At 57.8% G+C, this 19,780-nt stretch overlaps 1 protein-coding gene across 1 annotated transcript, besides 9 other annotated features; it reads right to left on the reverse strand.

The window, feature by feature from the left end:
* Nucleotides 1-904: 904 nt before the first annotated feature.
* ATP13A1 (ATPase 13A1) lies at nucleotides 905-19,383 on the reverse strand. The gene is made up of 26 exons (NM_020410.3): nucleotides 18,978-19,383; nucleotides 15,605-15,694; nucleotides 15,308-15,498; nucleotides 13,043-13,115; nucleotides 12,701-12,856; nucleotides 12,554-12,623; nucleotides 12,367-12,473; nucleotides 11,761-11,890; nucleotides 11,585-11,640; nucleotides 11,235-11,361; nucleotides 11,023-11,160; nucleotides 10,826-10,946; nucleotides 10,250-10,407; nucleotides 9,676-9,851; nucleotides 9,491-9,601; nucleotides 8,302-8,427; nucleotides 7,396-7,504; nucleotides 5,448-5,647; nucleotides 5,274-5,370; nucleotides 3,306-3,466; nucleotides 3,121-3,235; nucleotides 2,836-3,032; nucleotides 1,912-2,054; nucleotides 1,581-1,692; nucleotides 1,354-1,497; nucleotides 905-1,239 (listed from the first exon to the last, which is right to left on the reverse strand). Exons 1-26 carry the CDS (start codon nucleotides 19,371-19,373, stop codon nucleotides 1,129-1,131), a joined length of 3,615 nt encoding a protein of 1,204 aa, NP_065143.2. The 5' UTR covers nucleotides 19,374-19,383; the 3' UTR covers nucleotides 905-1,128.
* Nucleotides 17,129-17,776: an enhancer, noted in NCBI's record as "H3K4me1 hESC enhancer chr19:19772231-19772878 (GRCh37/hg19 assembly coordinates)". NCBI's record gives its function as "activates a minimal SCP1, AML or CMV promoter by ChIP-STARR-seq in primed H9 embryonic stem cells {active_cell/tissue: H9 hESC(primed)}" and the evidence as "EXISTENCE:reporter gene assay evidence [ECO:0000049][PMID:30033119]".
* Nucleotides 17,129-17,849: a biological region, named in NCBI's record as "H3K4me1 hESC enhancer GRCh37_chr19:19772231-19772878".
* Nucleotides 17,370-17,849: an enhancer, noted in NCBI's record as "active region_14367". NCBI's record gives its function as "activates an Ori minimal core promoter by ATAC-STARR-seq in GM12878 lymphoblastoid cells {active_cell/tissue: GM12878}" and the evidence as "EXISTENCE:reporter gene assay evidence [ECO:0000049][PMID:35858748]".
* Nucleotides 18,550-18,599: an enhancer, noted in NCBI's record as "active region_14368". NCBI's record gives its function as "activates an Ori minimal core promoter by ATAC-STARR-seq in GM12878 lymphoblastoid cells {active_cell/tissue: GM12878}" and the evidence as "EXISTENCE:reporter gene assay evidence [ECO:0000049][PMID:35858748]".
* Nucleotides 18,731-19,713: an enhancer, noted in NCBI's record as "H3K27ac hESC enhancer chr19:19773833-19774815 (GRCh37/hg19 assembly coordinates)". NCBI's record gives its function as "activates a minimal SCP1, AML or CMV promoter by ChIP-STARR-seq in primed H9 embryonic stem cells {active_cell/tissue: H9 hESC(primed)}" and the evidence as "EXISTENCE:reporter gene assay evidence [ECO:0000049][PMID:30033119]".
* Nucleotides 18,731-19,719: a biological region, named in NCBI's record as "H3K27ac hESC enhancer GRCh37_chr19:19773833-19774815".
* Nucleotides 18,985-19,086: an enhancer, noted in NCBI's record as "conserved acetylation island sequence C14". NCBI's record gives its function as "activates a minimal heat-shock promoter by reporter assays in Jurkat T cells {active_cell/tissue: Jurkat}" and the evidence as "EXISTENCE:reporter gene assay evidence [ECO:0000049][PMID:17135569]".
* Nucleotides 19,120-19,379: a silencer, noted in NCBI's record as "silent region_10454". NCBI's record gives its function as "represses an Ori minimal core promoter by ATAC-STARR-seq in GM12878 lymphoblastoid cells {active_cell/tissue: GM12878}" and the evidence as "EXISTENCE:reporter gene assay evidence [ECO:0000049][PMID:35858748]".
* Nucleotides 19,430-19,719: an enhancer, noted in NCBI's record as "active region_14369". NCBI's record gives its function as "activates an Ori minimal core promoter by ATAC-STARR-seq in GM12878 lymphoblastoid cells {active_cell/tissue: GM12878}" and the evidence as "EXISTENCE:reporter gene assay evidence [ECO:0000049][PMID:35858748]".

The following is a 19,780-nucleotide window of genomic DNA, read 5'->3' on the forward strand; positions in this document are numbered from 1 at the left end:
TATGTTTATAACTTTGTGTCCAAAGGCTTTGGCTGTTAAGGAGGCAAGGATTCTCTGACTGGCTCCGTGCTGCCTACTCTGCAGTTCTTGAGTTGTGATGAGTGAGTCCATTGAAAGGAATAACACTATCAACCTAAGAGCCAAGCCAGGTTTCCAGGTCACATCCTGGCTGATGCTCAGCCAGAGCTCCCTGACTGTGACATGAGATGGTAGAGCAGCGCAGGCCCCCAAAGAGCATGACAGAGTCAGTACTTGTTTGTTTTTCTTTTGAGTTGGAGTCTCGCTCTGTTGCCCAGGCTGGAGTGCAGTGGCGTTATCTCGGCTCACTGCAAGCTCCACCTCCTGGGTTCACGCCATTCTCCTGCCTCAGCCTCCCGAGTAACTGGGACTACAGGCACTCGCCACCATGCCTGGCTAATTTTTTGTATTTTTAGTAGAGATGGGGTTTCACTGTGTTAGCCAGGATGGTCTCGATCTCCTGACCTTGTGATGGGCCCGCCTTGGCCTCCCAAAGTGCTGGGATTACAGGCTTGAGCCACCGGACAGAGTCAATACTTGTAATGATGCAGATCATATTCCTCAAGTCTCAGACACCACCCGAGAGAAAGGCATGCTGTTATGTATTATGGGAAAGAAAAAAATATCACACATCCTAAGGCTTCTCTCAGCACCTGAGTTGTTAAAATGTGAAAGAGACCTCAGAAATATGGGGGTGCTTGTTAAACTAGAAAATATGCACTGAATTCTCTGGGCAGGGACAAGTCCATGTTCAAGTGCTGAAAGTGCCAGAGGGTTTCACCAACATCACACGCCTGTGGGGAGGGTGCTGGGACCTTCCTCAGTGACCCTCTGTCCCCGAGCCCCCAGCAAACACCGTGTGGCACAGACGAGGTGGAGGCAGGGCTTTTTAAAATCTCAGATGCTGCTTTATTTACCAAAGGTGCTGGCTTGGGGCTGGTTCTGCTGGCCAAGCCAGCGGATGGCTGTGGGGGTCCCAGCTCAGTCTTCCAAGGGCGAGACTGTACAGCCTTGCTGTGGGGGGTTGGGGGCAGGGTTCCCTCCCGGGGCCCTGTTGGGGTTCCCGCCCAGCGGCAGCCAGGGTGGGCAGTGGGTACCAGCACTGCCATCTCAGGAAGGCACTTTCAGCTTCGGGGTCCCCAGGAAGAACTGCAGGACGCGGTCGGCCAGGAGCGCCAGGCAGAAGTCCAGGAGCAGGACCTGGGCAATGACCAGCTTGAACTGTCGGGGCAGGGAGGGATGGTGAGCTGGAGACCTGCAGCCCAGCTCAGGGTCACTGCCATAGGAGGGACCCATCAAGCTGAGCCCCAGGGTCACCTCCACAGGGCCACTGACCTCCACAGGGATGTCCACGAGGCCAAACTGGCTGTTGAAGTCGGGCGAGGAGCCGAGGAGCAGGCCAATGATGGCCAGGAGTGAAACTGCCAGACTCCACACCAGGGGCTTGTTCTCGGGCAGGCTCTCCATGAAGGGCGGGCCCTGTGGGGATGAGGGACAGATGGCTTCATGGGGTGGGGCTGGGTGGGCAGACAGTGAATGTTTGGGCAGGGCCCAGGCCTTACTTTGTAATTGATGGCGAAGGTGGCCATCTGCATGGCCATGGCCATGATGTAGACGGTGCTGTTGACCAGGCTTGGCTCAAACTCCTTGTACAAGTCCACGAACTGCTCCTGCCTGCAAGGACACATGGGAGTCAGGGCCCCCTCTCCTGCTCCGGCTCACACACACTGTGTGGCTTCCTGCTGCCCTGGCACAGAGCTAGGGCTCTGCCTGGCCTAGTGCCCCTCCCTGGACACCCTGGACAACCCCCAGCCTCTCCTGCTGAAGTCTGTGGAGTCATCCTCCTGCTATTCTCAGCTGCAGGGACATCACCTCCTCCAAGGCAGCACTTACTTCTCGGGGCTCCGGGCCTGGGCCTCACGGTACAGGTAGACAAGGCTCAGGAAGTGCACAAAGAACTGGAGCATGACGGTGAGGATGGTGTACAGGTTGAAGATGTTGGGCAGGGGCCGTTCTCGGGAGAGGGTCTTGAGGGGCTGCAGCAGCAAGGCGGGTGGGGGAGTCAGGATCTGGCTCACTTGGGGCCACCCTGCCCACACAGCAGGCAGTAACATCCCCTGCCTCCCGGGAGACCTTGTGTACAGCCACCACCAAATCCTGGGGGATTCCATGGGTCAGCACCAGTCCCTGGATCCCTGCCTGCCTCTCACCCCTGAGCCCAGGGCTGCCTCCCTGGCCCCGGCTCCGCCATCCAGGCTCCCCATGGCAGCCACAGGGGCCTGAGAATCATGAAGCAGATCCTGCCCTCCCTGGAGCCCACGGGACAGGCACAGTCCCGCCCAGCCAATCTCCCACCCCCTCCAGCCACCGGGGACTCCCTGCGTCAGCCCATGCCTGTTTGGGGCCTTTGTGTCCAGTTCCTGGCCGCTGGCCCCCCTGGTTCTTTACGCCTTGGCCTGAGTGTCGGTGTCGCACAGGCCTCCCCAGCTGTCCACCAGCCTGTCCTGTGTAGCCTATGACCCACTTAGTTGTTTTTTTACCCTCTTGATGATTGTTCCTTGCTTGTGGGGCTCTGTGGGGCCCACCCCTGGGACCCCTACCTGTGGACAGGTGTGGACGCCAAGCTGTACCACCTGGAGGGGTCTGGGAGCCTCAGTCCACACCTGCCCTGCCAGCATTTCCTGAGCCATCCCAGCTACAGCCCCCATCTCTGGGGCCCTGGGTCCTGTAACTTGGGGATGACAATTCCCGTGCCTATATCAGCCTGGCCCTGGCAGGCCCATGCATCCCTGGCCTTCCAGCACCTCTGGGGCCCACCTTGGAACGGGAGATGAAGAGGAAGCAGCCGGCCAGCAGCAGCCCCTGTAGGGTGGCCTGGAAGTCACTGAACTTGACTCCCTCCAGGTAGAGGACGCTCTGGCTGTAGGCCAGGATGAGGGCATTGAGCGCCAGGATCTTGAACATCTGTAGCGTGGTCACCAGCGTGCAGCGGCCCTGCTTGATCACGTGGCAGACTGCAGGGTGGTGGGGAGGCAGGTGTGGGTGTGGGTAGGGGTGCCAAGGGGGGAATGAAGGGAGGGGGAGCGGGGGCAGGCAACTCACTGCACTGGATGGATGAGAGCTTGGAGGTGAAGGGTGCTGCGATGCTGGCATCCCCCAGTTTCACAATGGGCGTACTCTCGTCCTCGAGGTCTCGCAGCACCTGGCTCAGGCGGTCCTGCAGGGTAGACAGCAGGCTGTCAGCCCTGGCCAGGATGGGGTGCAGCACCTCCCCTCTTGGGACTCACCCTCTGGGAGGTTGGCTGCTCCTCGGAGGGAGGGAGCCCCGACCGCTGCTTGGCTGTCCTGGAGGTGGCTCTGATGCCACTGTTGCTCAGGGTTGGGCTGTCCCGGGGCCGCCGTCGCCGCTCGACAACCCGCTCAGGGGCATTGGCCAAGAGCGCCACACCTGGGGGGCAGGAGGGTGTCAGACCCGGAGGAGCAGGCTCCACGGAGGGGAAGATTGCTGGCTTCAGAGCCACTGGTCCTGAAGTCCCCCAGCTGGCTCCCGTGAGGACAGTTCCCAGACTTCCCCATTTCACCTGACACCCTAAGGAGACCTCAGAGAGTGCCCGTGTTGCTTTCTACAAACTACTTTAAGAAAACAAACCACCAACAATAAACCCCCACAACAAATGCAATGAAAAAACACACAACACGAGATAGGTCAAAACTAAACTGATTTTGGCCGAGCGCAGTGGCTCACACCTGTTATCTCAGCACTTTGGAAGGCTGAGGTGGGCGGATCACCTGAGGTCAGGAGTTTGAGACCAGCCTGGCTGATACGGCGAAACCCCGTCTCTACTAAAAATACAAAAATTAGCCAGGGGTGGTGGCATGTGCCTGTAATTCCAGCTACTCGGGAGGCTGAGGCAGGAGAATCGCTTGAACCCGGGAGGCGGAGGTTGCAGTGAGATGAGATCACACCACCGCACTCCAGCCTGGGCGACAGAGCGAGACAGTCTCAAAATAAAACAAAACAAAACAACCTAAACTGATTTCAAAAGAAATAGCCAAGGAGCATGATTCTAGGAGGCAAACAACACTCAATAAATGCTTTAGTAGATAAAAGCAGATAAATATTGGAAAAGCAAAAAAACCAACGTAAGATTGATCTTTAAAATTCAATTTAACACCTGAGTTCTTGCAAAAAAAAAAAAAGAAAAAAGAAAAAAAGGCCAGGTGAGGTGGCTCACACCTGTAATCCCAGCACTTTGGGAGGCCAACACAGGCGCATCATCTGAAGTCAGGAGTTGGAGACCAGCCTGGCCAACATGGTGAAACCCCATCTCTACTAAAAATACAAAAATTAGATGGGCATGGTGGCTGGCGCCTGTAATCCTAGCTACTTGGGAGGCTGAAGAAGGAGAATTGCTTGAACCCGGGAAGTAGAGGTTGCAGTGAGCTGAGACCGTGCTATTGCACTCCAGCCTGGGCAACAAGAGAGAAACTGTCTCAAAAAAAAAAAAAAAAAAAAAAGGCAGGGTTCGGTGGGATGCAGTGGTTCACACCTGTAATCCTAGCACTTTGGGAGGCCAAGGCGGGTGGATCACTTGAGGTCAGGAATTGGAGACCATCCTGGCCAACATGGTGAAACCCCATCTCTACTAAAAATACAAAAATTAGCCAGGCATGGTGGCACGTGCCTGTAATCCCAGCTATTTGGGAGGCTGAGGCAGGAGAATCGCTTGAACCCGGGAGATGGAGGTTGCAGTGAGCCCAGATCGTGCCATTGTACTCCAGCCTGGGTGACAGAGCAAGGCTCCGTCAAAAAAAAAAAAGACAGGGTCTTGCACTGTCACTTAGGTTAGAGTGGATCACACCACTGCCTTGAACTCCCAGACTCAAGTGATCCTCCCGCCTCAGCCTCCCAAAGCACTGGGATTCCAGGCAGGAGCCACAGTGCTCAGCCATCTGTGTGCTTTTGACAGAGATCTGGGGCTATGAACCATCTTCATGGCTTCAGCTCTGGGTTTTCTGAGTCACTCTCCCAACTTGTTGCCTCTCTCCTGGCCTCTGGCCTCCGCCCTGCTCTGTTCCTGGGATATTCGCATCCCTTCCTGCCCTCAAAGCCCCTGACCTTGCCACCCCCTCCCATCCTCACAGGAATTAGTGCCCCCGTGGCTGTCACCAAGGGCCAGGTCTGTCTTTCTAGCTCAGTGACATGTCCTCAACACCTCGTCCACAAACGAAATACCCTAGCCCACAGCACTCACCCACGTCAGCATGCTTCAGGGCGCCCACGTCGTTGGTGCCATCCCCACACATGAGGGTCACGTAGCCCAGCTCCTTCAGGCTGGTGATGACAAACTCCTGTATGGGCGGAGACAGGCTGAGCAGGGGCTGCGTGCCTACCGCTGTGCCCCTGACCCCTAGGGCTGTGCACATACCTTCTGCTTGGGAGCCACACGGGCGAACACCTGCACATGGGGGATGAGGCGGAGCAGCTGCTGGGGGTCGGTGGCCTGCAGGTGGGCCAAGCCGTCGCCTGTGAGGCACAGTGCGTACTCCAGGGCCAGTGCCTTTGGGGAGCCCCGGGCCAGGGGCAGCACGATGCTGCCGTCAATGGAGCGCCACTCGCACTGCCGGCCTGCGGGCAGCACCTAGGGTTAGGGCTGGGGGCTTGGCTGACCGGGCTCAGAAGCACCCTCCCTCCACTCGGACCCCAGCACCAGCCAGTCTCTCCTCTCTGGAGCCCGCACCTCCCTACCCACCCAGGTGACCCCCAGCCCTTCTCTGGGGACTCCACAAAGAATGTCCCTCAGGTGCACAGGGTGGAACCAAGAGCCTGGGGCCTGAGCTACTTGCCTGAGAGCCCGGGACACAGCCAGATTAGAACCTGGGCAGTCTGACCCCAGCTAAGCCATGCCCCCACCTCATGCAAGGCCCCCTAACCTGAAACACACAGAAGGGGGCTATTGCGCTCTCCTTGGGAAACCCCACACCAGGCCCTCACCTCATTTATCCCTGCGCCCGTGGCCTCTCTGAAATCCTGTTTTCTCGGGGCTGGGCCCCCTCCCAACTCTGACAGGGCCCCTGAGTTCTCAACATCTTCTTGCTCCACTTCCCCTTTCTTGCTGGCTGGCCCTGGCTTGGATGCTGGGCGCTGAGGATGGCCAAGGGCGGCCCGCCAGCCCTCCTGGCACTGCCTGCTCACCCTGGACCATCTCAAGCTGAAGGGCAGCACACTTCCACCTGGCTTGTGCTGCAGCTGTTGCTAGACCAGCTTCGCTTGTCAATCAACAGTTCTGCTCATCCGCTCCATGCCACCTGCCCACAATCCCCAGGCCCTGGAAGACCCCGGTAGCTGGGGCTGGGACAGGGGGAGGCCTGCGACCAATAGAACAGAGGGAGGGCAGGGACCGAGTCCTCTGAGAGGTGGCCTGGAGGTTCCGGAAGCTGCTCTGGCCCAGACCTGTGAATGTTTGCTGCCAGCAGCCCTGTGGCAACACTGCTCCATGTGGTTCTTCTTAGGGCCCTGTCAACACTCATGCAGGTCCTGAACTGCGTGCGCCCACAGGGGCTTCACCTCTAGCTCTGGGGCAGGTATCTGGTAAGCCCCACACCTCTAGCTGGGAGGGGCTGGGTCTCTATGTCTGCCTCTTCATCAATCTGAATCCAGGGCATTGCTCAAAGAGGTCACTGGGGAGAGGTTGGAGCCTTGAGCTCTGGAATCAGGCTGTCTGGATTCCAATCCTTAGCCATGGATTGGAAGTGACCTGGGCAAGTGGGTTCACTTCTGAGCCTCTGTCCCTTCTCTACAAAGCAGGGCCCCGAGAGCTGACCCAGCCAGCTTCCTCCTCTGTGGTGTGGGGAAGGCAAGCCACCCCGTGTGGTGCAGGATGGGGTGGAGGGACCAACGCAGTAACACGCACGGAGCGCTCCGCCTGGGGTCTGGTCAGGCTGAGCACTGGGCAAACTGCCATCAACTGTGGCTGAGGATGCCAGCAGTCCCTGTGCTCGGGAAGGGAGCACTCGGTACATGGGCAGCTTGCCGGGCCAAAGAGGGTGTGAAATGAGGATGACACTGAGGATGGGGAGTAAGCGTGGTAGGAGCAGTATCTGCCCATGAGTGCACAGGAAACCCGAGCTGGCAGTCAGACTATCGCCTCATTATGGTAAATAAACACCTACATGCCGCACATCCTGGGACCTGCGACCCAGTGAACGCTCACATGCTGTCCGAGGTGCCCAGTGGGCCAGGGCTGTGATTAGTGGTGCCAGGCATTTGAAGACACTGTGCTGCTGAGGCCTGGTACACAGGTGGGCTGTTGCGATGGGAGCTGTTCTTGGACTCAGGGTCCCCCTTCCCCACTGTGGGCCAGGCTAGGGCCTCACCTTTCTCGGAGGGAGGCTGCAGGATCAGCGTGTGGGCCTTTTCAATGAAGTGCAGCTCCTGGGCCACGTGGCATGCAGTGAGCGGGTTGTCTCCCGTGATCATGACCACCTTGGGTAAAGAGGGGCAGAGGCTCAGCATGGCACCCTGGGGCCAAGCTCTAGGCCAGAGACAAGGCTGCCAAGTCTCCTTCTAAGGTAGGCCACAGTGGGAGATCCTGGGCCTCTAACCGAGATGCTGAATGGGCTTCCAAGGGCCACAACCCACCCCCACCCAGGTCATTTTACACAAATGACACGTGTATGTGCGTCCTTCTGAAGACACCCTTAGCTTGGATTTGCAATACAAATGAACAACCTGCCCCTGAGGTGGACCCTTTTGGCTTGGTAGCTGCCCATGGGGGTAATATTTCAGCAAAGAGGAGGATGGGACCATGACCTCTGGGCTTGGTGGGGACTAATCACATCACCCATGTGACCCAGAGCCATCATCCTCTGAGACGGCTCACTCACCCCTTACACCCTAAAAGACACCCTAAGTCCCAAAATAGAAAACACAAGCCACCAGAAGCCACCAGGACAGGCAGACAGTGCCCCCCACCCAACTCCCCAGCCTCAGCTTCCTTCTCTCCAGGACGGCGGTGGAACGGGGAAGTGGAGAGAAGTGCCCCCATCTTCCCATGATGCGGGGAGTGAAGGGAGTGGTCTGTGGAGGAGAGAGGAGCCAGCACAGGCGGGTCCCAGAGTGTCCTTGGGCCAGTGGCAATGTTAGCACCTGAGCTATGATCTTGCTCAGCTAAAACATGCAGCCTGTGAGACTTGGGTGCCCACCCCTACCACGAAGCTGTAATTGTCATCTCCTCGCCTCTATTTCCCATGCAGAGGGTGGAGCCGAGCACCGTCCCATACCCGGTGGGACGCATTCTGGATCTCCCGGATCACGGCCTTGGAGTCAGCCTTGAGCGGGCAGGAGACCACAATGAAGCCGACGAACTTGAGGCTGCACTCCAGGGCCTCCCGCTTGACCTCCCGGGCCTGCGGACAGACAGGGGCACCCTCACCATCTGTCCCTCCCTCTGCCCACACTCTGCATTTCCTGAGCTCTGACCATGCGCTGGGAGCCAAGGGGACAATGGAAGGCCCTGTTCCCGTAGTGGGCACATGCGAGGGTTGGGAGGGGAGAAATGCCAGGAGGGTACCAGGCACGCTTGAGGGGTGGGATCTGGCAGTGACTGGGGGGTCTGGGTCCCCCGAATGTGGCTCTATGTCCTGCTTGCGGACATGGGCACATCACAGAGTCCCTTGTGGCTCAGCTTCCAAGTCAATGAAGTAGGGACTCTCCCAATAATGTTGGAGTTTAGCCAGGAACTCTTACTCACTGGGGCTCCACCACATACCACAGACTGGGCACAGACCCCTGGCCTTAGGGAGCTCACACTGCACCAGGGGAGACGCATGATCAAGAAAGTCACAGAAATCGGAGTGCTGAGTGCCATGAGAGAGGAGGTGAGAATGGAATCCAGAGAGGGTGGAAAGGCCTCAGAAGTGGCCACTATGAAGGCGATGAGGACCTGTGTCACTGGGAAGGGGGCTCCAGGTGCAGGAACGGGGCAGAGCATGCAGGCTGTGAGCTGTGGCCTGGGCTCTGCACACAGTACTGCAACCTGAGGCTAAATTCTGGAAGGATCCGCAGCTGTAGGGTGCAAGCAGAAAGAACGAGAGCCCAGGAAGAAGCCAAGCGGCAGATGTGCCGGTGGTGGAGGCGGAGGGTGGGCTTTGTGGAGGATGGATGGGTGAGAGGGCTGAGGATGCCACCTAGCCCTGCCCAAGACCAGGGCAAAAGAGTAGAGCTAGGGACACACCAGGACTGGGGCAGGTAAGCCCTGCGTGTGCTCTGCGTGAGCCAGGACTGGGTGGGTCCCCACAGCAGTGGACAGACTGAGTGCCATTTGGAGTCTCCAAAGGTAGAAGCTGGAGGCGGGGCAAGGAGGACAAAATCACAACCATTCAACCTGGCACTGTGGGACACAGGAGGTGACTCAGGGAGGAGCTGACGGGCCAGGCACATGGTGAAGGCAGGGGGAGCCTGGGCCCGTACCTGCTGGTGAGTGAGGTGTCCCAGCTCCTTGTACCCCAGCGCCAGGACGCGGGCTCCTTCCCGGGAGATCTCGGTGTGGATGTGGTGGTAGTCGGGCGGGCACTGGGAGAACTGCAGGGAATGCAGGGGGATGTCACGGGCTGCCCCGCGCCCCCACCCCTTGCCCCAGGCTGGGGCCAGCTCACCATGGAGTGCAGAGTTTCGGGGGCCCCCTTCACGGCCGCGATGTAGCAGAGGTCGGTGGAGCCCAGCTTCTCATACGAGGCAAGCACGGACATTCGCTTCAGGGCACTGGCAAAATGAAAGCGCTGGTGAATTTTCAGCCCCTGAGTTTTAATACTTCGGGGGAATACTTTCTCATCTGGAAACAAATAAGTACGAGTCCTGAGGGGCTTTGCTCCAAAGAGGCAGCCAAGCCCCTACCTCTCACCCCGGCCTCCCCCACCTCCCTCCTGCCTCCCCCAGGGCCTGATCGGGGCTCTGGGCTAGAGCAGGTGTTGGTCCAGAGCTGGAAGACCTGGGCTTGGAGGACCCTGGCACTGTGGCTTCGGCCAGGGCAGGGCAGATTCCAACCCAGAGGGACACCCAAGGACGTGGCCTATCCTGGGTCTAAAGTGAGCCTCTGGCCACCCACCTCGGGGAGCATCAGAGCTGTAGGCCTGCCTGTCCCCAAGATGCTCTGAGGGGTGCAGCCCACCTGCCTAGGGCTGTGAGAGCCAGTGGCTCCCCCTTGCTGGGCCTGAGGCCCCAGCCCCTCACCTTTGGTCAGCGTCCAGTCCACGGCCGTCAGCATGGCCTTCTCTAGAGGGTCACCCACGAGGGTGCCGTCGTCCAGCTGCATGAGCGAGTGGCACGAGGCCAGGGCCCGGTGTGTTTCTACAGGGATGCTGGACACTGGGGTCACCTCCTTCCCGTCTCTGCAAGGTCGGGGAACAGCTGGTTACAGAGTGCAGGCGGGTAGGGCGAAGCTGCATCCCCACCAGCAGAAGGACCCCCAAGGCCATTCATTCCGTGCTTGTCACTGGGGTGGCTTGGGCGCCAACTGGGTCTTTATGAGACCTGCACCTGCTTCACAGATGCCCCCAGAAGCCAGGCATTGTGCCTGGGGGTCATGTGGTGCATGGCTGGTGTGGGATGTTCCAGGCCTGAGCTGAGCCCCCGTGCCGCTACCATGGCTGACACCCAGGACTTTGTGGGGAGCCCCTGGAAATGAACCCGAGGCAGGGCCTCTGACGGGCCCTCACTGCAAGGGCTTGGGGTGGATGGGCCACCTGTCTCTCGACTTCCCAGAAACCCCATCTGGGTGACCTTTGCTGCAGGGCCCCTGATGCTTACCTCAGCCCGGCCACACCGCGCACCACCAGGCTGTCACTGGTCAACGTCCCCGTCTTGTCAAAGCAGCACACCTCGACCTTGCCAGCAAAGGGGATCCGGAAGGGCTCTGTGCAGTACATGTCTAGGGGCGGGAGTGAGGTCAGGGGTCCTGCTTGGCCCCAGCCCACTCGGCACCCCATCCCATTTGACACACTCACAGAGCTTGGCCAGGGCGATGAGGGAGGTGTTGACGGCCAGGGACAGCTCGATGGGCAGCTCAGGAGGCACGACCGAGGTGAGGATCAGGGTGCACTCCAGAAACAGCTTGTAGCGGTTCCGGCTGGGGTCCTTGGTACCTGTGGAGACAGGGCCTGCCAACCTGGAGCCTCGGAGGGTGGGCGCAGGGGACCACAGAGGCCGTGGCGCTTACCTTCAATCCATACATAGGCAGCTGCAGCGATGGCAAACACCAGGAGGAAGAGGATGAAGATGAAGGTCTCCAGGTTGTTCGCAGTCACCCTCTTGACCCCGAAGAGGATGGTGCGCAGCAGCTTGCCCTGGAGGAATGGAGGAACAGCCTTTCTGCTGTCTGGACTCCCTCCAGCAGCTCAGGCCTGGAAGCGTGGGCCTGGTCTTGGGGTGGCCTCTGCACCCTGGCCCAGGTCCAGGGCCGTGCTGCCAGAGTCAGCCCGTGGGGCAGATGTTCTGGGGTCGGAAAGGGCTGATACCTTGGCTGTCCAACTGCCCTGGGGCCCGCCCTCCCCAGACCTGGCCCCGCACCTGGGATGTGTTGAATCCGGTCCGCAGGACGTAGGCCACGCACCCGCTGTCAACCGCTGGGGAGAGAAGCAGAGTCACCGTCATGCCTGTCTCCTCGTCCTGACTCCCTCATGATCAAGCAGACGGGCAAAGGGGGTGGAAGCCCAGATACCCCCAGACGCCCATGAGGCACCTACGCTTCAGGCCCGTGGTGGCTTTCTGTGGGGGGATGTGCTGCACCACCTTGGTGCCCCCGAAGATGACGTGCAGCCGGGAATCAGCCTGGAGGTCCAGCACCCGGTCTGGGCTGAGGTCTTCGATGGGCTCCTGGGGAGGAAGATCGTGAATCTGGATGGCCAGGCCTACCTTGCTTCCTTCTCCATCTGAGTTCCTGGACAGCTGGACCTTGAGGCTGGAATGAGCCAGGGGGATCCCCACCCGACCAATACATCCCACCCAGCTCCCAGATCCTCACCCTCACCCCGTCCTGTCTTCTCCCCATTGCACTCACAGTGCCTGCTCTCTGGGGCCTGCACTTGGCCTCGTCTGGGACTCACCCCTCTGGACTGCTCCCAGCCCACCTTGGTCTGACATCCCAGGGCACCAATGTACCCTGGATGCCCTTGGCTCTCTCACCTCCTTCCTCGCCCCCACCACCCGGCTCCCCAGTCCACAGAGCTCATCTGTGCCCACACTGCCTCCTCCGCCTGTGCCTGAGGGGGATCCCCGCCACCCCCTGGGCCTCCACCTCCTGGCCTGTTTCCTCCTGAACAGCTTGAGGATCCCCATCCTCCACCAAGTACCTTCATCTGTGGCACGGACTCCCCCGTGAGCATGGCCTCGTCTACGATGCAGCGGCCTCGCAGCAGAAGCACGTCACATGGCACCAGGTTCTCCTGTGGGGAGCGGCCTGCAGGGCAGAGGCAGGAGGGTTGGCCAGAGGCCCTGAGGCTGGGGCTCCCACTGGGACTGAGCGGAACCCGGCCTCACCGATGGAGACGATGTCCCCTGGTACGATCTCATCACTGGCAATGGGCCTCCACTTGCGGCTTCGGTAGACCTGGGCGGGGCATGGGTGTCAGCACAGAAGCCGCACCTGTGCTGCACCCCCAACCTGGGTCTCCCTGGCAGCCACACCTGGATCATGTGGGGCTTGTTGCCCATCTTCCGGATCTCCGACATGTTCCGCATCTGCTGCTGCACCAGCGAGGCCTCGAACGCCACCAGCATGGATAGCGTAAAGACGCTGTAGTACCAGTACTCATCCAGGCACCAGAGCCCCACACAGAACACCTGTGGGATACCAGCCTGTCTGTCCTTGCCCTACCCGCCCTGTTCCCATGAGCCCCTTCCACCCACCGGATCTGATATGTGAGGGTGGGGAGAGGCTTCCAGGTTTAGAAGTGGTGGGCAGGCTTGATCCGGTTAGGAAAGCCCCAAGGGAGGAAATGGGGAGATGGGCCAGAGCTGCTGCTTTACCTGAAATACAAAGAAGGGGGCTGTGGCTCTCTCCTTGAAAAGCTCCGAGAAGTCAGGCACCACCATCTCGGCCCTGCAAGAGACCAGGCCCCATCCTGTTCCCAGGGCAAGGCCTCTGGGGTATGGAGTCTCCACCCTGACCCCTCCAACCTGAGCATGGCAGGCCGCTCTCAAGAAACCAAGAGCCATATGTGGGCGTCGGGAGCCCTGGCGAGCTTCCAGATAGGAGGATCCATTTGGCAGTGGCTCTCCCTCATCCTGGCTGAGCCTGGGGTAGACATGCTGCCCGCCCACAGCCCTCGGCTCTGCATAAAACAGATGAAGCTCCTTAATCTGCAATATGCTCTTCCTGGCAGCCTGGGGCTGGTGTCAGACGAGAGCCCGTCATCTGGTCGAGTGACACAGCAAGTAGAGAAGGAACCTCTGATTGAAAGATGGAGGCCCTGAAGCTACAGACAGCAGAAGACACTGAGACCCAGCCCCACCAAAGCTGAGATTTTCTATGATTCCTGAATTAAAGCCCCAGAATGGGTCGAGTAGGGTGGTTCACGCCTGTAATCCCAAGCACTTTGGGAGGCCGAGGCAGGAGGAGTGCTTGAGCCCAGGAGTCAGAGACTAGCCTGGGCAACACAGCAAGACCTTCTATTTACAAAAAATTTAAAAATTAGCTGGGGGTGGTGGTGTGTGCCTGTGGTCCCAGCTATTTGGGAGGCTGAGGCAGGATGAATGCTTGAGCCCAGGAGTTCAAGGCTACAGTGAGCCATGATCACACCACTGCACTCCAGCCTGGGTAACAGAGTAAGACCCTGTCTCCAAAAAAAAAAAAAAAAAAAAAAAAGGCTCGAGAATGCAAGGACTTGGGCCTAAGGGTGTGTTCTGCAGTACTCTGTGCCATAGTCCAATCTGATCAGGGCACCAGTCATGTCAACGAGGGTCATTCTCGCTCTGCCCTTTAACTGCATGGACGTCTTATGTATGGGATGTGAGAAGAGGAAACCAAAGAGCAACCCCACTGCTATCAAACAATAAGCCCTTCCCTTGTATCTTGCTGGGTACCTTTGCGTTGAGTAAGAACAGCATGAAAGGGAACGTAGTTGCCACAGGCCATTAATGTGACTGGCCAACCTTGGGGTAGGGGAAGTTGCTAAATGTTTCTTATAAATCCTTGTATTAGATTGATAGTTGTAGTCAACATATTTGTAATCTCTGAACAGTGATTAAGTCAGGAAAGAGCTCCCTAGGTGTTCTGTGGGTTTCTGGGTTGAGGACCATCGTAACAAGGCCATGATGGGGTTTGGAGCCCAGTTCTCCGGCTCCCAGCCACGTGTCAGCATTTGCAGTTTTGGTGAAGATGAAGGGAGAGGGTGTGCACCGCACATTGGCCATTGTACTCAGTACAAAAGGGCAGACATGGTCACGGTCTTCCATCACCATTCTGAAGCGCTGAGATGCGTAGACTCGAAACAGTGAGGACTGAAATGTTTAGGTTGGGTGCAGTGACTCATGCCTGTAATCCCAGCACTTTGGGATGTTGATTTAGGAGGACTGCTTGAGGCCAGGAGTTTGAGACAAGCCTGGGCAACACGGCGAGACCCCATCTCTACACAAATAAACATTTTAAAAGAATTTAAAATAAAGCTGTTGCTGAGGAGGGGCCACAGGCTAGACTCCTGTGAAGAACCTTACACTCAAGGTCTCACACCCCAGGGCACGGGCTTCCAGCTGCAGACCCTCTGGGGTTCCTGCCAGCAGGCAAGTTCAGGGGAGACTGGACTTAGAGCATGTTGCTCAAGCGGCATCACAGTCACCTGGGACATTTGGCTAAAAGGGCAGATTTGGCCGGGTGCAGTGGCTCACGCCTGTAATCCCAGCACTTTGGGAGGCCAACATGGGAGGATCACCTGAGGTCAGGAGTTCAAGACCAGCCTGGCCAACATGGTGAAACCCCCATCTCTACTAAAAATACAAAAATTAGCCAGGCGTGGTGGGGGGAGCCTGTATTCCCAGCTGCTTGGCAGGTTGAGGCAGGAGAATCACTTGAACCGGGGAGGCGGAGGTTGGGGTGAGCTGAGATCGCGTCACTGCACTCCAGCCTGGGTGACAGAGCGAGACTCAGTCTCAAAAATAAAAAATAAAATAAAAATAAAATAATAGTAAATAAATAAATAAAAGGGCAGATGCCTCTGTCCCGCTTCCTAGGCACCCTGAATCAGGAGGGGAGCAGGACAGAAAGGCAAAGGTGCTACAGGCAAATCAAGGACTCACTTGTTGCTCCCAAATTTCTTCTCAGCTGCTCGGATCTCTGAGTCTTCCTGGAAGCCTCTGTTGCTCTGATAGTATGAGAAGGCGTTTCCCACAGGAAAGGCCACGGGGAGAAACTGCTTCTTCTCCAGGGCATCGTAGGAATACTTGATCTTCTGGAATTCGAAGGACAGCACCTCAAGCCCGTCTTCGCCCTGCGGTAGAAGGTGTGTTTGCCACAGAGGCCCCTGACCTTGGGGTGTCAGCGCCTGGGAATCCTACTCAAGCCCCTCCTCCAGGAGCCCAGCAGGCAGTCCCTACCTCATTGCGGTGCAGGGCCACGAGCTCCGTGGAGCCATTGTTGGGGGTTGGCACCACCTTCACAAAGGTCGCTTTGCTGGGGTCGTACTCCTGACAGAGACAAAGAAAGCATTGTGGCTTAGCTCTTCTCAACCTACAGTTCCAAGACCCCCCCGGGAGGTTTTGGGTGCAGCAGCTCTATGGGTATATTCTGAAATGCCACTGGGCTCTGGTGCTGCCTCTGTCACTCCCTCGTCTGTCATCAGGACAAACGAGACCATCTTGCTGTGCCTCTGGTGCCACACTTAAAGCTGGGAGCACAAGGCTGGGCACGGTGACTCACACCCATAATCCCAGCACTTTGGGAGGCCAAGGTGGGCGGATCACTTGAGATCAGGAGTTTGAGATCAGCCTCGCCAATGTGGCGAAACCCTGTCTCAACTAAAAATACACAAATGAGCCGGACACGGTGGTGCACACCTGTAATACCAGCTACTTAGGAGGCTGAGGCAGGAGAATCCCTTGAACTGGGAGGCGGAGGTTGCAGTGAACTGAGATTGCAACACTGCACTCCAGCCTGGGTGGCAGAGTGAGATCCTATCTCAATTAAAAAAAAAAAAACAAAAAACCAGCCAGGCACAGTGGCTCGCACCTGTAATCCCAGCACTTTGGGAGGCCGAGGTGGGCAGATCACGACGTCAGGAGATTGAGACCATCCTGGCTAACACGGTGAAACCCCATCTCTACTAAAAACACAAAAAATTAGCTGGGCGTGGTGGCAGGCATCTGTAGTCCCAGCTACTTGGGAGGCTGAGGCAGGAGAATGGCGTGCACCCAGGAGGCAGAGCTTGCAGTGAGCCGAGATTGCACCACTGCACTCCAGCCTGGGCGACAGAGCAGGACTCTGTCTCAAAATAAAAAGGCTGGGTGCAGTGGCTCACACCTGTAATCCCAGCACTTTGGGAGGCTGAGGCAGGGGGGATCACGAGGTCAGGAGTTTGAGACCAGCCTGGCCAATATGGTGAAACCCCGTCTCTACTAAAAATATAAAAATTAGCTGGGCATAGTGGCAGGCACCTGTAGTCTCAGCTACTCGGGAGGCTGAGGCAGAACAATCACTTGAACCTGGGAGGCGGAGGTTGCAGTGAGCCGAGATTGTGCCACTGCACTCCAGCCTGGGCAACAGAGCCAGACTCCATCTCAAAAACAAACAAACAAACAAACAAAAAAACCCCAAAAAACAAAACAAAAACAAAAACAACAACAAAAAAAGCTGGGAAGCTGGGTGCACAGACAGCACCTAATGCCCAGGGCTCTGCTCTGCTGAAGGTGACATGAACTCAAATAGGAAGAACGCTGCCAGGCACCCACCCAGTACGTCCTCAATTCACGTGAGCCAAGCCCCCGCCCCATCACAGGCCCCCGGCCTCCTGCTCAGCTCTGCCTCTTCCACCAACCCTGCTCACTACACTCCACAGCTCCACACGCACATGGGGCTCGATCGTGCCTCAGCAAAGGGCCTTGGCATGTGCTGTTTTCTCTGCCCGGAATACACAGTCACACAGCTCCCTTGCTGCCTCAGGCTTTTGCTGAAACATCACCTTCTCAGGAGCCCCTCCCTGGCTGCCCCATCTAAAGTTCCCGGCAATGTCCCATCCTGTCCTGATGTTAGATGTCATCTCTGTTTGGCATCAACTGCTGACTATGAGTTCTCCCTCCCAGTAACACCACAAAGGCAGGGGGATTTGCCTGTTTTGTTCACTGCTGTTTCCCCAGCACCTAAGACACAGAAATGTTGAATGGAACTCGTTCAGTGCTCCCTGGACCCCGTGAACCGCCATCCATTCCTCTGCTGCTCTGCTAGACCGAGCTGCATGGAGACGAGCTGCATGGAGATGGGGGGAGCACAATGATGACCCGCAGAAACAAAGCGCCACCGCACGGGTGGTTCATGGGCCTCCAAAGCAGGCAGCAAATAACAACAATCACATAACTACAAACGTGACGTCACGGAAGAAAGGTACAAGAGGCTATACGCTGTGATGGCCCCAGGGCGGGCACTCTGCAGATATCATCTCCGCTTCTCAAGATGGCACCCAGTAGTTGTTAGTTACGGTTCTCAGTTTACAGAAGGGGGAAACTGAAACTCAGAGAGCAGAAGCGGCCCTTTCTGAGATCTGAATCAAACCCAGATCCACCTCTCCTGGCTGATGGCTGTTCAGCTCCTCCCACTTCTCCATCCCTGGAGAGGAAGTTAAGAGCTAAGCTGCTTAGCTGCAGGTCAAAAGGCAGCTGAAGTTTGAGCGGTGCCACAGTCCCCTTAACCCCTCCTTTATTTTGTCCCTCATTGGTGTCTTTCATTGTACTACCTCAAAGCTACCACGTTGAGCTCCTCCCCTGGGATAGATAAGTCTTTTTGAAGGACAGAACAGGTTGTCTCTCAGGAGAGGAGAATGAGGATTCTACCCACATTCAGAGCCAGCCAGGGTGGGGGGCTTCTGTCTTTCTGTAGCCCTTGATGCTGTTCCCTTTTCCTCTTCTTGAGGCAAACACACTCCTGGAATCAGAGGGGAAGCTTCCTGATATACCTCAGTGTCCATGGCTCCAAACCTGCTGGTGTCACCTGAGGCAGGCCCAGAGAGAGACGACACAGTCACTGCTTCAGGCCCAGGGAAGCTCACAGTCACCAACTCCTCCGACGACACTTGGTCACTCAGAACTCTAAACTGTGGGTCAGGAGCGCGACCTTGCTTGCTGTTGTATCCCCGACAGAACTCAGTATCACCACCCTCATTTTGCGGAAAGACATCATGTAAATGACTCGCTCATAAACACCTCTGCCTCTCTTCAACACTGTAATTAACTGCATTTCATGCTCCTTTCCATCACAGTATGGAAGACCACTAAGCACTGGACAGCAAGACTTGGTTCAGTCTAAGAACCAACTAAGCTTCATAGATGGGGGAAACCTATCCCAGTGATCTCGCCTTACACTTTGAAAACCAAGGTAGGAGACAGATGAGATGGAAGGTAGGGCCGTTTCCAGAACAAGAGTAGTCGCTAATATGGGAACTAGTATAAACAACTCCTACCTGACCTGGGCGACGTATGCTGGGCCCTGCGCTAAGCCTTTTACAAGTATTACATCACTGAATCTAAATGACCATAACAGGGAGGACTTCAGAAAAAGGAAATAACCCGCACCAGGCATGCACAGCAAGTCAGCAGTGGGGTCATGATTAAGCCTGCGCCAAAGTGTAGAGGGTGCCCCTGGGAATCCAGGCCAGGCAGATGAGTGGCCCAGGTCGCGATGGTGACCGACAGGAAGGCCGCAGCTGGGACCCACGGCGAGGCTCGACCGTGCTGGGGGTCGGGCTCGCGTGTACACACTTACCGGGGTGCAGGTGAGCGCGCAATGCGCGTGCACAGACCAATGCCCCGAGAGGACAGTGAGCGCGTGCGCGAGGCAGATGGTGGCAAGCACGAGCAGCGCAGCTTCGGGGATCTGCACCCAACTGCTGCCCCAGCCCCAGCAGCCAGCGGCTGCGGCACCCAACCAGGCCGGGTAAAGCAGCCCGGCGAATGGCAGCACCGTGAGGCGCCGCAACAGCGCCAACCGCCGGTACGGCCACACGGCAGCCACCAGCTCGTCACCGTTCGCTATGAGCGCCGGCCCGGCGGCAAGGAGCGCGCGCGGCTGCGGCCCGGGCTTGGGCTGCCCGTCAGGCCGGACCCCGCAAGGCCGGGCCCCGCAGGGCACCGCGTTGCCCACCGCCGCCGCTGCCGCCATCTTTCCTAGCGCCGCGCTCACTTCCGGGCAGAGGAACGCCTCACTTCCGAAGTTTTACTTCCGGTAAGCCCTGAGCGCCGCCATGGCAGCCTGGACTAGGAAGAGCCAGGGCAACAGAACAGGCTGGCCCCGGCAGGGACTACTTCGGGTGCCGCCATGACAGGCTGTGGCCGGAAGAAGAGGCTGGGCGTCGCCATGACAGAGAGGGACTGGAAGACCTAACGGTGCCTGCCTCCGCTGCCACGCCGGACTGAGACCGGAAAAGACAAGGCCGGCAAGGCGGGCTTGGGCGCCACCATGACAACCTGAACCAAAAAAAGCGAGCCCTCCTCCTTGACTACACCAGCACCACCTGTCACCAGGGGCGAAGCCTGGACCCTGCGGAGGCGGGGTCGGGAGCTTCGGAG

Source organism: Homo sapiens, chromosome 19, assembly GCF_000001405.40.
Source record: "Homo sapiens chromosome 19, GRCh38.p14 Primary Assembly".
NCBI classification, from domain to species: Eukaryota; Metazoa; Chordata; class Mammalia; order Primates; family Hominidae; genus Homo; species Homo sapiens.

Coding starts and splice junctions, on each gene's coding strand:
- ATP13A1 (NM_020410.3), bottom strand. CDS start 19,373: ATGGCGGCAGCGGCGGCGGTGGGCAACGCGGTGCCCTGCGGGGCCCGG. Junction 15,499..15,604: donor TGGCCCTGCACCGCAATGAG/GTAGGGACTGCC, acceptor CTTCTACCGCAG/GGCGAAGACGGGCTTGAGGT. Junction 7,505..8,301: donor TCCAGAATGCGTCCCACCGG/GTATGGGACGGT, acceptor TCTTTACCCAAG/GTGGTCATGATCACGGGAGA.